The following is a 17338-nucleotide window of genomic DNA, read 5'->3' as shown; positions in this document are numbered from 1 at the left end:
TTTTTTTTTTTTTTTTTGAGATGTAGTCTCACACTGTCGCCCAGCTGGAGTGCAATGGCGCAATCTCGGCTCACTGCCACCTCTGCCTCCCGGGTTCAAGCGATTCTCCTGCCTCAGCCTCCCGAGTAGCTGGGATTACAGGCACCCGCCACCATGCTCAGCTAATTTTTTGTATTTTTAGTAGAGATGGGGTTTCGCTATGTTGGCCAGGCTGGTCTCAAGCTCCTGACCTCGTGATCAGCCTGCCTCAGCCTCCCAAAGTGCTGGGATTACAGGCATGAGCCACTGTGCCTGGCCAAAAATTGACTCTTTAATAATGGTGCTAGAACAACAATTGAAAAAGAATTAAATTAGAGCCATGACTTACACAATACACAAGAATAAACACCAAATGGATCAGGCACCTAAATAGATAAAATGAAACCACAAGGAAAGCATGGACAAATTCCTCTGTAATCTGGATATAGGGAAAGGCTTTCTAGCTATGACACTAAAGCTAGAAACAATAAAAGAAAAAATTGATAAATCTGACCGTACAAAAAATTTTAATGGGCAATGCAATAAACACCATGAAGTCAAAAGACAATCGAAACTGAGATAAGATAGTTGCAACATATAACCCAAGATAAAGAACTAATATCCCTTATATATAAAGAGCTCTTAAAAGTTGAGCATGACAGAAAATGAGCAAAAGACACAGACAACTGACAAAGCAAGATGTAAAAAGTGGCCATTAATCTTATGAAAAGGTGTTCTTATTCACAATAAGAGAAAATGCTAATTAAAACCTCAACTGAAATACAATTTCTTACAAAAATTAAAAAGTAAAACAGCACACTATATTAGAAAGGTTGTGGGGAAACAGGTGTTTGCATACTTTGTTGACAGGAACATAAATTCATACAACATGAAGGAAGGGAATTTGGCAATATCTCTTAAAAATACATACATGTTTGCCTTTTGTATCTAGTAAACTCACTTCCGGGAATTCACCTGGAAGCCATGCCTCCAATAATTTGAAAATATATAGATATGTATGAGAATATATATTGTAGCATTATCCGTAATTGGAAAACATCAGAAGCCACTTACACACCCACATACACAGGAGGCTGGTTGAATGGTTACGGCAGTCATGCAATGGAATATTATACAGCTGAAACAAAGAATGAGGAGGACCCCTATGAACAGATGTAGAGTGATTTCCAGGATGTAGTGTGAAAAAAAGCAAAGCACAAAAATGTACTAACAGTATACCAATTTCTTTTTTTGTAAGAACGAAGAGGAAATTATACCTGCATGCTCATGCCAAAAATTACAGAAAGGATAAACCTGGGATTAGTAAGGAAGTAAGCAGGAATGGGGTGGAAAGGGAGGACTACACTTCTTTTGTGTATAGTTCTGACTTTTGTAACATATTAATATTTCACAAACTTGAAAAACAATAAAAATCAACAAGCGGGGGCTAAAAGGGAATACAAATACAAACCAAAACTAAAGAAACATACTGTGTATCAAATAAATCATGAGGCCCCAACCTTTTTGGCACCAAGGACCAGTTTCGTGGAAGACAATTTTTCCACGGACTGGGGCGGGTCCTTGGTGGAGGGCAGTTTGGAATGAAACGGTTGCACCTCAGATCAGGCATTAGTTAGATTCTCATAAGGAGCACAAAACCTAGATCCTTCGCATGCACAGTTCACAACCAGAGTTCACGTTCCTATGAGAAACTAATGTTACGCTGATCTGACAAGAGGCAGAGCTCAGGTGGTAATGCTCAGTCGCCTGCCGCTCACCTCCTGCTGTGCGGCCAGGTTCCTAACAGGACACTGACCAGTACTGATCCATGGCCTGGGGACTGGGGACCCCTGAAATAAATAACAAACCACACTGGTGGGGTAGGAAAAGAGAATAACCAACCCAAGGACATTTTGGATAAAGTTTTAGTCCCTATGCCCTCAAACTAAAGACAAAAAGCTAACCAAATATAGGCTTCTTTGTCACAGAAATATGGGCTAGTAACTCTGAAATCACTTCCTATATATGTTAGGACTGAAAAAAAGCAAACATAAAAAATAAGAGAGCCAGGTTTATTCTGGTTGAAGAAGGGAATTACTAATATTAAAGGGGAAAGGAGAGAATGAACCCTGGGCTGCTGGAATAATACTGGAAGTATCAATATATACACATTGTTTTTGCTGTTGTGTTGGAGAGGTAGGTAAATATGTGTGTGTATATAATAAACAGATAAGTGTGTGTGTAACTCGATACACACACACACACACACACACACACACACTCTCTCTCTCTCCCAGTCCTATCCACTGAGAGGGACTAGAAGCAACAATTCCTCAGCAACGAGGAGCACACCTAAAGCCCCAATCTTGGTTTCTCAATGCCCCCCCCTTCACTGAAAACAACCAAGCCTTCTTGGAGAAGTAACTGACTCCATAACTAAAACAGGGAAGTTACGAGATGAGCCTGGAACATCCTCTGGTGCCAGAAAGCAAGAAAATGTTCAAAGAAAAATGGGGACAAGGCAAAAAGACAGAAGAGCCAGTCTGAAGGGGCTCCCACTGACCAAATCTGGGATAATGTGGGCAAAGTAAATACTACAACAGTAAAGAGTTATAATCCCTTGAATAAAATGAGAAGCCACAAGTCCGCTCAGCTATAAATTAACAAATAGACAAGAGGGTAAAGCTCTTCCTTACGGTAAAAACCCAACCAATCAATGTAGAAGAAATGATGGAATTAGTAAATCACCCCTTAGCAACCACAACCATATTTAAGTCTTAAAGTATCTTTCCGGAAGATACACATTAACTACAAAAAGAAAAACAGAAATTCTTTGTACTATTTTTTACAATTTTTCTATAAATGTGAAATTGTATCCAAATATAAGGCTAACAAAAACTCTTAGTTTTATGGAAATCTTAATTTCTCTTAGCTCTCAATAATGACAGTCAGAAAACCTTTTTTTTCTTTTTTTTTTTTTTTTTTTTTTTTTTCAAAACTCCCTTTACCTCACCTCAAATGACTTTTGAGGAGGGCTAGAGTCTCCTGGTCTGGCACTGGCACCTGGTCAGGAACTCGGAGCCCATCTCTGGGGTCACTAACAGGCTGACTGGAAGGAGGCAGCTCAGGCCTCACTGTCACACACTGATCTGGAGGTCTCTCTGGTAGTGCCATTATTTTGGTGATTGATATTTGAACTCCTTTGCTCTTGTTTCAATTTGGTAAATCTACAAGGGAACTCTCTCCCTCTGGTTTACTTAGTTTACCTCCTCCTTACCATAGGAAATCGTGTTGTAGGCATAATTTCCACATGTGTAAACTGACATGCTCTGAGGACAAAAGAATGATGACAGTTAACATTTTCCGAGCATTTTTAAAATTGTCAGACTGTATTTCATTGAACTCTCATGATAAAACTGATAGAGACTTCTTTATCTTTTTACTTGATAAAAGGTTTTACTCACAACTTCTTCAGAAGTGCATCAATTTATTAACAGTGCCAACTACAACAAGAGAGAATGACAGAAAACCCATGGCACCTGATGCTTTCATTTTCTAGGGTGGGGTAAATTTTCTGAGGCTGTTCGCACAGCAACTCACAAAAGCCTCTCTTTAAAGCCCTAAGAATGTATTAATATGGTGGTTTAGTTCTTTGCCTTAAAAGGGGTAAAAAAGAAATTTAATGTTTACATTATCAATGAACATTTTTGTCCTTGTTCTATGATTGTTATTTAGGTTACAAAATGGCCTCAGTCTTCTTCAGCAGAATGATTACTGACTCTGAAAACATCCTAGCTCATCACAATATCTGTCTGGGCCAGGTGTACTGCTTACAACAGAATCTACAAGGACAACAACTCACCGTGTTTTTCAATTCAGATTTTTAAGTTATGAATTCAAATCTACTAAATAAATATCAGAAACAAACAAAAACAGATAAAGCTATAGCTCACTGCATTTTAGAACCTGAGTGATGTCATGGTTCTCTAGAGCTTTCATTCCACAGGAGAGTTCTTGTCTCTAGGGCCTCGCACACTATGCACAGGTGAAGGGACGAAGTGTAGCCCCACAGGGTAGAATTCATGATCAGAGGACAGGGAAATACTGCTTTATTCATTTTTCTATTATTGTAGAAGTTTTTATCCTCTCTAAAAAAATACTTATTGGTTATACACAGAAGTTAGTCAACTTTTACACCAATTACACATTTTCCAGAAAAATTCATAAAATATCAAACATACAAAAGTTGGTTAAAAAATGGCCTCCCAGGCCATGATGACTAAAGAAATCATACCAAAGTTTCTTAATTTCCCAACTTTAAAAAAAAATGGTCGTTTACTACTTGGAAAATATAGCCCCCCATTAAAAACAGAATCACAATTTACTTACAAGTTTTTGTATTTCACATAGAATTCCTCAATTTCTACCTCCTCTCCAGATTCCTTCTGCAACAAAAGAAAATTTCAGGCATGTATTTAAAACCATCTACTAGAATATTTTAAAAGTAATGATTTACTCCCATATGAGCACAAAATAGGACTGAAAAGAGCAGCAAAGGACCTTCACGTAAGATGAGCACACCGTGTGCTGGGAGGTGGCCAGGGCCACGAAGACTGCCACGCTCAGGCCCATGCACGCACCTCTGCTCAACGTGCGAGAGCTTCTAAGACATGAATCACTTTAACTCCTCCCTAACCACATGCAGCTTCATTCACAACAACCTGACCCCAAATTTGGCCTTCTGCCAAACCCACAGTGTTAAGTAGACGCCAAGTGTACCATTTTCTCAGGCAGCAGCCAATTAGCAACTGCTCTCCTGAATGCCATATGTATTATTTTTGGCTGCCTCATGGCAACTTTACATTGTGGGTTTTGTAATGTTTTAAAATATTTAAAAGACATTTATTTCTCCATATACTTAATAACTCTAAACAAGAAACCATATAAAAGTAAACCTTGTTCTTATGCTGTAATTTCAGTGCATCACTATTCATAGTCTTAGTTTCACTCAATGGTACAATTAAAATCTCTCAGACAAGATGTCTCACACACATAGCAGCCAAATAAAATTAACACTCCAAATACTACATTTAGGTAAGGTTAAAATTGTGATACATGTCAGCCAAATCAAGAGTTTTCAGTAGTAAGATTATCTATAATGTCTCCCTTAATCCTATCTGCTGTAGTGTATGCAGAAGATGATGTTCAGATGGTATTTTAGGCATCTCTTTTTATTCCCCTTTTGGTTTTAGGCTCTTAAACAAGTCATAATATGTAATTTCCTTCTGGAACATTTGATCAGATAAATCAGGGATCTAAAATATAAACACCACTTACAGATGTTTGGGGATTGCTTTTACACTCTTACAAGAGACCCCAAGCCTGCCTTGAGGGTCATGTATGGCTGTTCAGCCACCTCCGAAATGCTTCGAAGAAAATCAAGGCAAGTAGGAACATGGCAAAGAACAAACAAAAGAGCAAAGGCTTCTACTGGATAACAGACTGGCACAGATCTGTTCAAAGGTACTAGTCCCCTCAATCTCCAACCTTCAAACCATTTTCAAAGATTGTGAACTTAAACTTTTCTTTGAAACTCTCACTTATAACAGTTAAACCTAATTTTTTTTCTTTCTTTTCTGAGATAGGATTTGCTTTGTCACCCAGGCTTGAGTGGAGTGGTGCAAACATGGCTCACTGCAAACTCAACCTCCCAGGCTCAAGCAATCCTCCTGCCTCAGCAACCCCTGCCCCTCCCTACCACCTCCCCAAGTAGCTGGGACTACGGGCACACATCACCATGCTCAGCTAATTCTGTATTTTCCGTAGGCTGGGTTTTACACCATGTTGCCCAGGCTGGTCTCAAACTCTTAGGCTCAAGCAATCCCCCCGTCTCAGCCTCCCAAAGTGATGGGATTACAGGCATGAGCCACCACACCGAGCTAAACCTATATTTTAAACAGTTTTGGCCTGTCTAGAAATCATCAAGAAGGAGTCTGGATATGCAGGAGTGGTCAATATCTATTAATATCTGGTTGTGCCATAATGGATCTATGAAACGTAATAACTATAAAGCACTATTTTAAACCAATGTATCAGAACACCTTCTATGTCATAAACTTTTAGTTATCCAAAATAAAAAGAAATGTTTGTTGGATGGCTTCAAGAACCAGCAACATAAATGGAACATGGAATTAATTTATAAATAAATACTACCAAGTTCAAGTGGCCATCCATCCAAGACCCACCCTACCTTTTTCTCTCTAGCCTTAATATTTCCCCATTCTACTCCCTTTTTTTTTGAGACGGAGTCTTGCTCTGTCATCCAGGCTGGAGTGCAGTGGCGCAATCTCGGCTCACTGCAAGCTCTGCCTCGCAGGTTCACGCCATTCTCCTGTCTCAGCCTCCTGAGTAGCTGGGACTACAGGCCCCGCCACCATGCCCGGCTAATTTTTTTTGTATTTTTAGTAGAGACGGGGTTTCACCGTGTTAGACAGGATGGTCTCAATCTCCTGACCTCATCATCTGCCCACCTCGGCTTCCCAAAGTACTGGGATTACAGGCTTGAACCACTGCGCCCAGCCTCCCATTTTAAGATATATTATCTTTATATAGAACCAGACTTCCAGCAGAAAGACAAAAAGATGGTAGATGATCAGGGAAAAAGAGAAGCAAGGATGAAACTAGATCCTTTGATTCTTCACACAGCATTATCATGAAATTCAAATCAAGAATGGAACTCAAATGTCTGAGCTTTTGCCCTTCTGATAATAATTATATTTTTTCAATTTTGAAGGCATTTTCAATGCCTTCAAATGTATCAAATGTATCATTTATATAACTGATATATATGTTATAAATCATAAACAAGATTTATCATGTCTATGCTCGTATTATTTCTCCTGATTCTTCTGTCTGATCTTTTCTCCCATACTGTCCCTTTTCTTCTCATTCTAAATGGTCTCATCATCCCATAATTCTAAGTGGGCACCAACACATACAGGATCAAATCTTGAACAGTAAAGACACTTTTTATTTTGTCTCAAGTCTGTTCCCAGAAAGCTCTGACTCTTACAGCCATCTGTCCCCAACTCTCATTACTACCCATTTTCTTGTCATGATCAGCTATTCCTCTGGGAACCTGCTGTGAAGATGCCTGACAAGAGAGTCTAGGGCTGCCTAGGAGGAACCAACCAGGTTCTGAAACTTCATTTAGCAGCACCTGGAGCTGGTACAGAAGTGTCCCAGGGCCTGTTATCTTTTGGATGTTTCAGAATACAACACTTGGTTCTGTTTAATGGACCACACATATTGGATCACCACCTTCTTGCCCCTAAAACTATAAATAGAGCTGTTTTTCACCGTTCCTTTCATATAAATATGATCATGCTGACCTCTTTTCTTTTACTGAACAGTAAAACAATTGAACAAAAGTGTGTGAATTCATAAGCCCTCAGAAACATCATTTCAATTATTTACTAAATGGGAGGCAGTTTGACCAGCCTCTGTTGACAGCTTCAAACAGCCCCTACCCTAAAACCTCTCACCTCTAAGCCCTATTTTCAGAAGCCATTCTACAACAGGCATAGGCAATGAATAACTAAGTCAAAGAACTATTCCCATACATACACACAACACTCAGATTTATTTCTTGAGCAGCTACCTTTAAATTTGAGAACCCAGTAATATTATGAATTAAATAGAATTTTTCTGAGAAATGTATATATCTTTTCATTAGATCCAAAATTAGTCTAGGGAAATCCTTATTATTCATATGACACTTAAAGTTTCAAACATATTAAGCCATACTTGTCCCACTGTTCAAACAAACCAGAAACTTTGAGAAGGCAATAAATGAGTTCTCCAGCCACCTGGATTCTAAATAGCCACCCAGAGTCTAGGCCTAACTTAGGCCTTTCCTATGCATCCTACTACTAAATTAAGTAGTCACAGTCAAGAAACTAAAATACAGAGCAAAAAAACAGAACACTCTGTCAAATAATACACAAAAGAATGAAAAAGCACCTCAATAAAGTTATCAATAAGGCGTGGGTATGAATCCCTTTTCACTTTTGGCCCTATCTACTGTATACTTTACTAGAGACACCAAATCACAGTTCACTTAGGGAAAAAATAAGGACATGACAATGGATGAGATTAAGAGTTTTGCCTTCTTTACACTCTAGGAGGCTCAGCTACATACTTAAAACACACACTCTGAAAATACGTCCTGTAGTTAACTTAAAGAAAAATAAAGAATTTTAGGGAATACAGTCACAATTCACTTTTAAAACTACTTTTGGCCTTCTGATACAAAAAAAAAAGGATTTGAATTATCCTCCAAAGATGAATGGCTCAAAGCAGAAACAGCTACAAGCTGACTAAACAAGGAAAACAAAATAATTAGGCTTTATACAATCCAAGTATCTACTCATATATCTACCTCAAAATTCAAATAGGCACCAACTATTTCATGCAACTAGGTATCATAGACATTAACCTGGGTTTAGAACAACATAAATGCTTGAGCCACCCCTATTTAACATGAGGTGCTGACTTACGGTGCCTCTGCCAGGTGAGTTTTATGTTTGCACAACTCCATCATAATGGATCATGATGCTTCTCAGGCCACAGTGATGAGGTCAACTGACTTTGAAAAACATGGAGTCTCCACTCTGGGTCAACACCATGCAGGGACAGGCTCTGAGAGCTCATAGCCAGTTTCTACAGTGCTGCCTGGCAGAGATAAAGACACCTTCTCACTGCCAATTATTAAATTATTCATGGTAATAAGAAACAGACCAGCAGGCATAGATTGAATCCACAAAAAATCTCAAATTTCCTTTTGTTTCTATTTGCAACACTTTCTTCCAATGTTATTAAAGGTGATAACTAAAGTATCTACTTTGAGAATATTAGCAGTTTAAAAAGTTAGCACCTGTTAATGTTTAGTACCTTCTAATGGATTTTTTTATTGCCCTTTAAGAAATACCAGTAACTGACAAGCAATTCCATGAGCTCCACATCTCTTCTTTATTTTAAATCATACCTCAAAGCATATCTCCCTTCCAGAAGAATTTTTTCCATTAATTTTCTCCAGCTTCAAATTCATCAACTCAACAAATGTCCACCCTCCTGTACAGTGATTTTTAATCTCCTATGATAAGACAAACCCAGTCATCGGTAAATGGTTAACAGTATCTATTCCTAAACCATGGGTACCTATTTTTAAAAGGTAGCTAAAGAGGAAAAGAAGACAAAAACCCTAAAGTGGGCAAAACAGAAAGAAAAAGCAATGTTCTACATAATATATAGTCTAAATAGCTCTGAATAATAGAGCTAATTATAATTTGCAACCCCTAAACCTGCTGAGTATGCCTGCTGAAGCACTACCAATTGAATGAAAATTAATATATCCCATCTAAACGACATGCTATTTACTCAAACAAGTCACTTCAATTCAGTGAAGGGGATTGTTCTTCAAAGCATGTCAAGTATTTAAATTTTACTGTATATCTACAATTCATAAATTAGCAGTTCTAGAGTCATTAGTAGGACAAAAATGCAACCTTCTAATGAGTTAAATAGTGCTTGTTTCCTACTTGAGCAGGTGGGAAATTTAATTCATCAGGAAATCTTCACATTCAAAGAGTCACCAAGATGGCCAGTCACTCCATACCCCGTATCCCCTATACTCAACTGGAAAACACCTTGACATACTGCTCTAAATTATTTTCTTATAAACTAGAGATGTATATTCCGATAAAAATTCATACCTTGAATCACACAATAGCAAAACAAACTAATGAAATGAAAGTAAAGAGAAGTTTACTGCTGGTGCAATAACATGTTCAAGGATCACTCAATAGCAGTATTTGAATAGTAATGGTTTCCTATTTGATAAGCCTGGGATCTCACTTTATTATAGGACTCTCACTGAGTCCTGTAAATCCTCCATTCCTCAACTCTCTTACTGGGAGATACTTTGTATACATTTTGCTAAAAATAAACAACTTTAGGCAGGATGGCTCACACCTGTAATCCCAGCAGTTTGGGAGCCCAAGGCAGGAGAAATGTTTGAGCCCAGGAGTTCGCAGCTAGACCATGTCTTTATTATATATTATTTTTTAAAGTTTGTTTTACATGCTGAAACATGAACTTGTAGTTCCATCCTTCTTGAAAGCAAATAAAAACAAAAGAACTGTGTGGAATTGATAATGACTGAAGCTGCGACACAGACACCTATGTCTAAAGGAGACTACTTCCTAGAGACACGAAAAACTGCATGTTGTAATACCTAATGCACCTGCAGGTTTATGTAATTATTCAAACTAAGCAAAGCATTTTCTCAAAGTGGGCTGTAAGAAGGGAGTTAGCTAAAACAGGGAATTTTCATCAGGAAAAGAAAACACGGTATGTCACTGGCATTTTTTTGTTAAAGAGCATATGAGTACCTCAGTGACAAAGCTAGCAGGCTAGTGACAGATACTTAGAGCTCACCTTTGCAGATGAACAGAAACTTTGAATAACTCTGAAGTATTAAGTCAAAACTATTTTTTAAAATTACACTGAAAATAGACCTGTATTTCACCTTTGCACTGGCAAGAAAGACACTAATGAATAATTCAATTGTATATGAGAAAATGTTACAAAACACATGAGAAAACACCTACTTGCTAAAATGACAAACAGAATTTCCATCCTAACATGAAAGAGGGGGGAACCTTCCTGAGAGAGATTAGAAGTAAATTCATGTTTTGATTTTTATGAATAATATTTATGAAAAAGGCAGTCTACAACTCTGAAAGTCCCATACATTTATTTGGAGACTTGTGAGTTTCTAGTCCACTCTGAATGGTGTAATAAAGCACTGACTGCTTGATATATTTTAATTTCATCTGGGGTCAAATATCCCAAAGATTCATATTGGGTTAATAAATTAGACAGGATTAGAAATATTACTGGAAGTTTTATTTTATAATATTAGAATTTTAAAAGAAAATTACAAAGCCAACAATCCTGTAAGAGTCACATACACCTCACAGATTTTAATGGCTCCAATGGCACTCACCTGCTTTTTTACTGAACGACTGCTCATAATTTTTTCTACCACTGGGCCTTCTGCATCAACAGATTCCTAAAAAAAAAGGCATGTGCATCAATCCAAATAGAAAACATCTCATCCTAAGCTATAAGAGCAAGAAATCATTCCCCTTTGCTACCACCTCCACACCTTTTAAGTCACTGGGTACAAAGTTATCAGTGAGAAACACGATTGAAAGGAACAAAAATCTCACTCTACTGAAAGGCAAAAAGGAGATCTGTGCTTAATATTACTTCATGATTATATGGTTTAATTACGTGGACCAGCCTAGGTCCCTAAAGCTAGAGAGCAATCAGAAATTCTAGCCACCAAGACAAAATAATCTCTGCACGTTAGCAGTCAAAAATATAACTTTTCTTCATCTATACCCATGGGGTAAATATACTCATCATTCTGCTATAGTAGGCATCTTTTATCTATGGAGGTCACATAAAACATTATGTAACAACTTAACATAGAACAAATTACCAAATAAAATGCAAAGATGCATTTAATATACTTTTCAATAAGAAAAAAGCATTATTTTTTTAGAAAAGATCTTTACAATAATCAATCCTACACTACCCATATTTTATACAAACTGTTTTATCCATCATTTACATTGCACAGAGAATAAAGTACACCCTGCTGGGTACTACAAGGCAGTAATTTCATAAAGGGGTTCTCACAGTGCCTAACAGCAGGAGACAAGCTTGAGTGGTTTATTAAAGTCCCAGAAGCCACAGCACTGAATTCTCAGAGGTATATTCAGCCTCCTTATATTCCAACTCTGACTCTTCCTCAGCATAGAACATTAATTCTCCAAAATTGTGTCAAATTACATATCACAGTCTTATATAAAAATAAATTGCAGTGAACAGGGCTTTTTAAAAGATATTGCTAAACAACGAATTTCCCATAGCACATTATCCAACATTAGGTGGATGTTCCCCTGCTGAAAGTCCAATGCTTCCACTGCACTTCTCAGATTGCAGCAATGAAATTTCTAGTCCATCTTTAAAATGCATCCATAAATCCCACAGATCTGGTACTAACCTGCTGTTCTGACTGGGAGGTGTTGGAGGGGGAATCCCTCCCAGCAGCATCTGCATCATCTGCCTCCTCATCAGAAATCTTGAACTCCAGGTCTTCAGTGTAGCGCTTTCTCTTCACCTGTCTGCTGGACCGTCTCTTCTAAAACAAAAACCCAAGACAGTGGCCTTGAAATTAATGATTAAAAAGAAAAATGTGGCCGAGCGCAGTGGCTCACGCCTGTAATCCCAGCACTTTGGGAGGCCGAGGCGGGCGGATCACAAGGTCAGGAGATCGAGACCATCCTGGCTAACATGGTGAAACACCGTCTCTACTAAAAATACAAAAAAAATTAGCCGGGCGTGGTGGCGGGTGCCTGTAGTCCCAGCTACTTGGGAGGCTGAGGCAGGAGAATGGCGCGAACCCACGAGGTGGAGCTTGCAGTGAGCCGAGATTTCGCCACTGCACTGCAGTCTGGACGACAGAGCAAGACTGCGTCTTAAAAAAAAAAAAAGAAAAATGTTCTTTATAATGGCGCAGAGTGGAAGGATGAATTTTTTTAAATTAATCTTAAGGAAAAGGTGATAATGCTAATCCTATATATGATGTGAAAAGATCACAGTGCTAACAAATACAATAGAAATGGGTGGAAATCTGGAGTCAGACGCCTGGGACAGCTGTAGCCCTGCCACTCCCAGCTACATGTCCTTCAACTGGGAAAATGGAAATAACAAATCTAGTTCCTCAGTCAGTCAGTATGTCCATCAAAAGTGGCAGCAATACTGGAGCTGGCTAATGAATCTATAGGGGTTCATTATACTACTCTCTCTACCTTTGTACATTTTAACATTTTTCCCATATAAAAAGTCCAAAAAAAATCAGTGCTTTAGAAAATAATCTGTAAATTACAAAGTTCTATACAAATATTGTTATAATACTAACCAAGGTGCCCCAGATATTTCAGGCCATTTTAAATAAAAGGTTTTTGTATTTTAATCTTGATCCTAAAAGAAATACTCTGAAAATTTCTGAAGAGATGAAGGGTTAAATGGCAAAATTCATAATGAATGACTATGGACAGTAATTTTACTTTTTAAAATATAATGTTTTTACCATAGTGGTTAAAATTAAAAAGATTGGTAATAGCCAGTATTAGCAGGATCACTGGCAAACTGGGTATTCTCACAATCCTGTGGTCAAAATGCAACCCACACAGTCCTTGCAGGACAATGTGGTCCTATCTATCAAAACTTAAACATGCAGACCTTTGACTCACTACTTTCACTTCCAGGAAGTTTGGGAATATCTGCAAGACTAATTGTAAAATAAGAAGAAAAACAAGCCACATAACAAGAAGTAGCTTAAGATTCTATTTAAGATAAATAAAAAATGTTGTGTATCTATTTAGACGTGCAGTTCATCGATATATTAACTTCTTAAGACAAAAAGACTGTATATCTTGTTTACTTCTCTATGCCTCAATGAGTATTTGCTAAAAGATGAATGTATATGTACATGGCTTTAAATAAGGAATGTGAAAAGACAGACAACAGATTATTAATAGCTATAAAGATGGGGAGAGAAGCAAATGGAACAGAACAAGAGGTTCTGAACTCTGTTCAGAGTAATTCTATATTATTTAACTGTTTTGTCAAAGAATTCATTTTGGAAGCTAATTAATAAGGAGAAATAACCTTTTTATTCATATATGTATGTCAAATCTAAATTTGAAAATGACACATGTAAAGTTTTAAGCTGCTAATGAATTCAAGAATATTACAACCTATGGAATGAGTTTGCAAAGCACAAAGAAGAAATAAAAATATTGAGGAAAATTTTGACACAAAATTTTTTCTAAGAATTATGAAATAACACTTTTTAAAGAGTCTCAAGAATGTTAAAGTTGAGAAAGTAAGGCAGAGAGAGGCAAAACATTCATTGTGTGCACCTAAGGCAAGACAGGCACTACCATTTCTCAAGTCAGGATGAACACAATCCCAGTACTTTTCCCCAAAGAGTGGGACTGATTGATTTTAATCTTAAGTTTATGTTCTCCCTGCTCTTAAAAAGGGATTTGAGACAGTTCACGATACAAACTCGGTATAATATGACCATCAAATAGATAGTTAGATATTGTTAGCTCCAAGCCACACACAGCTGTGGCCACAGAGGTGCAAAGTACTTTTCTGATGTGAGACCATTCTAGAAAAAGTTTATTAAGAGACTTCCTTGTGGCTTACATGGAGGGAGTAGTGACATGGGCCAGAGGTTCCTCCTGGGACCCTCCTCTACAGGACAAAGCTTTGGCACTGCCCAGATCAATCCCAGGTGGAGGAAACAGAGATTCCAGCAGAGTATTCTGCCATCTGCAATACTTTCCCACATCCCAGGTGGCAATTTGACCTTGTAAGTCCTAGAGCTAAGTGCTCTTGTTTGAACTTGCCCCGACTCTTATCATGTGACCTTGGACAAGTAATTTTGTGGACCTTGGACTCCTGGTCTGTAGAATGGGGTTAATGACAGTAACTACCTCATATGAATACCATGAAGATCGCATAAGGGAATTCATTCAAAGCTTTTAGAACAGTACATGGTACATAATGTGAGATGTAATTAGTAGGACTAAAGTCATCATTAATCAGCTCCAGCTTTCCAAAGAAAAATGGCCCAGTTACCTTGTACAGCTTCCCTTTTCTTTCCAAAGCTGACCTACTTACTCCTGCTCTCATGCCCACTTTACCATTCCTCACTTCTGGACCACCAATTTCTTCAAGATATAAAAGGCCATTATCAAGAACAATTTTAATATTGCAAAATTTAGCATAACATGTTGTATTTCATTTGATATGTCAATTTAACTCAATTTAAATGGATTCATTTATATTTCCATCTTTATACCATTCCAGTAAGAAGCAATGTGCTCCTAGTGATCTACCTGCCATGTTTCATCAGGTTTCCCTGCTTAAGACCCCACTGTCACAGTGTTGTGCCATATAAGTAACTGGATAGGGTCTAAGACAAATCCACTTTATGCTAAATCCCACCCTGATGTTAAAGAAGGGTTCCATCCAGTACAATAAGACAGTGTGCTTTCTTCTTTTTAAATAGAAATTTATGAGTTGGTAAGTATAACTTTTAAAATGTAAGTTCCTCCTGATATCAACTTTGTGATATAAATCTGTGCAATAGTGATGGGGTTAGTTAGCAGTGGATACGAGGTCACTTCCTATGTAAAAACACCCCAAAATACAATTATAACTCAATTTGATAAAAATTTTTAATGTTACGTGGCTTCTCTAGTTTTAAAATAATAATTGATCTTACATTTATTTTGAGTATCAAGGTTCCTTTTACAATTCCCCAATGTAAAATTAAATTATTTAATACATAACATGTTTCTATTGTGATCTGGTAAACTATTATTATCTGAAAGATTTTTGTGAGTCAAAATGAAATGTAAGAACTGCCTTTAAACCATAATTCAAAACTTTTGAATTGACACTAAAATAATATATCAACTTTTTAAACTTGGATTGCTTTAGAAAAGATACTTAAAACAGGTATAACAAATAGAACATTTAAATGTTTCCATGATCTCACTGTTGCAGTACCTTGTGACACAATTTTGAGTTAGTTAAAATTATATGACATGTACCTTAGTAAATCAATCACAAAACTCAAGAATTTTAATGCTAAGCCCTTCATGCATGTGTTACAGGAAGAAACATAATAAACAACCAGTCAGCATCACTTCCTGTGTCAGACATACCAAGAAAACACAGCTTTCAAAGTCAGATCTTGTGTGGTTGCTTATATTAGCTATTGAACACGTAACAGTTAGGCCCTAGCCAATTAGAAAGGATACATCAATGTTCACTTGAATTGATTAGCAGTTTTCTATGTTTGAAATGCAGCAGGAAAAAAAAAAAAAACCCTAAAGCTAGTATTTCATAAGGTCCATCTGAGTCTGAATTAATATAAACAGACTTTTAAAAAAACAATAGCAGTATTTGTGAAATAACAACATAACAGAATTTCCTCTACTGATGCAAACAAATTCTTAATGTTGTCCAAATACTATTGACATAAAGGTCCTGCTTTAAGCAAACATAAATCAGGAGAAAATACCCTTACGGATAAAAATAAAACTCAAAATCATTAAAACACTTGATTCAGTAAGACCAGATCTCAGTAAAAAAACAAAAATCAATAAAACACTTTAGTTGTAAAACAGCCTACGCAATTAAAAAATGATATCTACTTACCTTCCCAATATCTTTCCATTGATGTATAAAATAAAATTACATAATAACCCACACTGCCAAAGGTATCACTGTTAGTTACACAACCAAACCGAACTAAACCAAAACATATTCATTCACTTCATCTCTCTCTCCCTCCCTTTCAGGTCTAGCTTAAGGCTATTCTGTGAAGTTATAGGTATCAGGGAGTTCTACTCTAACAAACAAAAAGCCAAAGCCAAAAATATCTGAAATTCTTTGGAACAGAGCTGCACACTACAAATATTTTGTTTCTGACTGGTGGGGGTACAGGTGCAAAGTCCTGAGTGTGTACTAAATAAGAAAAAGTCCAGTAAGCTTCTAGAGGCTGGCTTCCTACTCCAGGACAACTCTTCAGTAACTGCTCCTTGACAACTTAGATGTCATTCACATAAGTTACATTCCCAGCCATCCCAGTGGACCACACTGGCATGCTTCCAGGGAACCTAACAAGGAAATAATTTTTAACTGTCACTTGTAAGGGTCCTTCTCAGTCCAATCAGTGAAGGCAGTATGCTTTACACACAAGAACCTACATTCCTCACGTTTACTTCAGGGTTAGCATTTCAACTCATTCCTATAAAACTCTCCTAAAGTCGGGAGAATATTCTGCAGAGTTGCCATTTGGAAAGTCACTGGCTTGTTCATAGAAACTTTAGTATTACATGAATTAGATTACATGACTATATCTCAACTTTGAGTGCCAGATGTCAGAAACTTTAGACAGGCTACTACAAATTATATCTTGATTTTTAATTCTGCAAAATTCAAAAAAGTGACAATCAACCAAACTTTAGAGAAATTTAAAAATGTGAATGAAGCTTTATATGAGCCAGTATATTAACAATGTTAATAACATAAACAGCAAAATATACATTTACAGAAATAAATGAAGAATCTTTGCCTTATTAATTATAGAGTCAAAGAT

At 37.2% G+C, this 17338-nt stretch overlaps 1 protein-coding gene across 11 annotated transcripts in view; it reads right to left on the bottom strand.

Moving 5' to 3' along the window:
* CHD7 (chromodomain helicase DNA binding protein 7) overlaps positions 1–17338 on the bottom strand; it is a 189289-nt gene that overhangs the window by 55349 nt on the left and 116602 nt on the right. For 10 of the 11 annotated variants that reach the window (XM_011517553.3, XM_047421945.1, XM_011517555.3 and 7 more), the window contains exons 5-7: positions 12155–12292; positions 11087–11152; positions 4408–4463 (exon numbers count right to left, since the gene is read on the bottom strand). The exons of the other annotated variant lie outside the window; for it this stretch is intronic. In XM_011517553.3, coding sequence (XP_011515855.1) covers positions 4408–4463; positions 11087–11152; positions 12155–12292 — 260 coding nt within the window. The remainder of the gene's footprint in view (positions 1–4407; positions 4464–11086; positions 11153–12154; positions 12293–17338) is intronic. 11 annotated transcript variants of the gene reach the window in all.

Source organism: Homo sapiens, chromosome 8 (genome assembly GCF_000001405.40).
Source record: "Homo sapiens chromosome 8, GRCh38.p14 Primary Assembly".
Taxonomy (NCBI): Eukaryota; Metazoa; Chordata; class Mammalia; order Primates; family Hominidae; genus Homo; species Homo sapiens.
The sequence above is the reverse complement of the archived record's forward strand: the minus strand, read 5'-3'. Positions and strand labels throughout refer to the sequence as shown.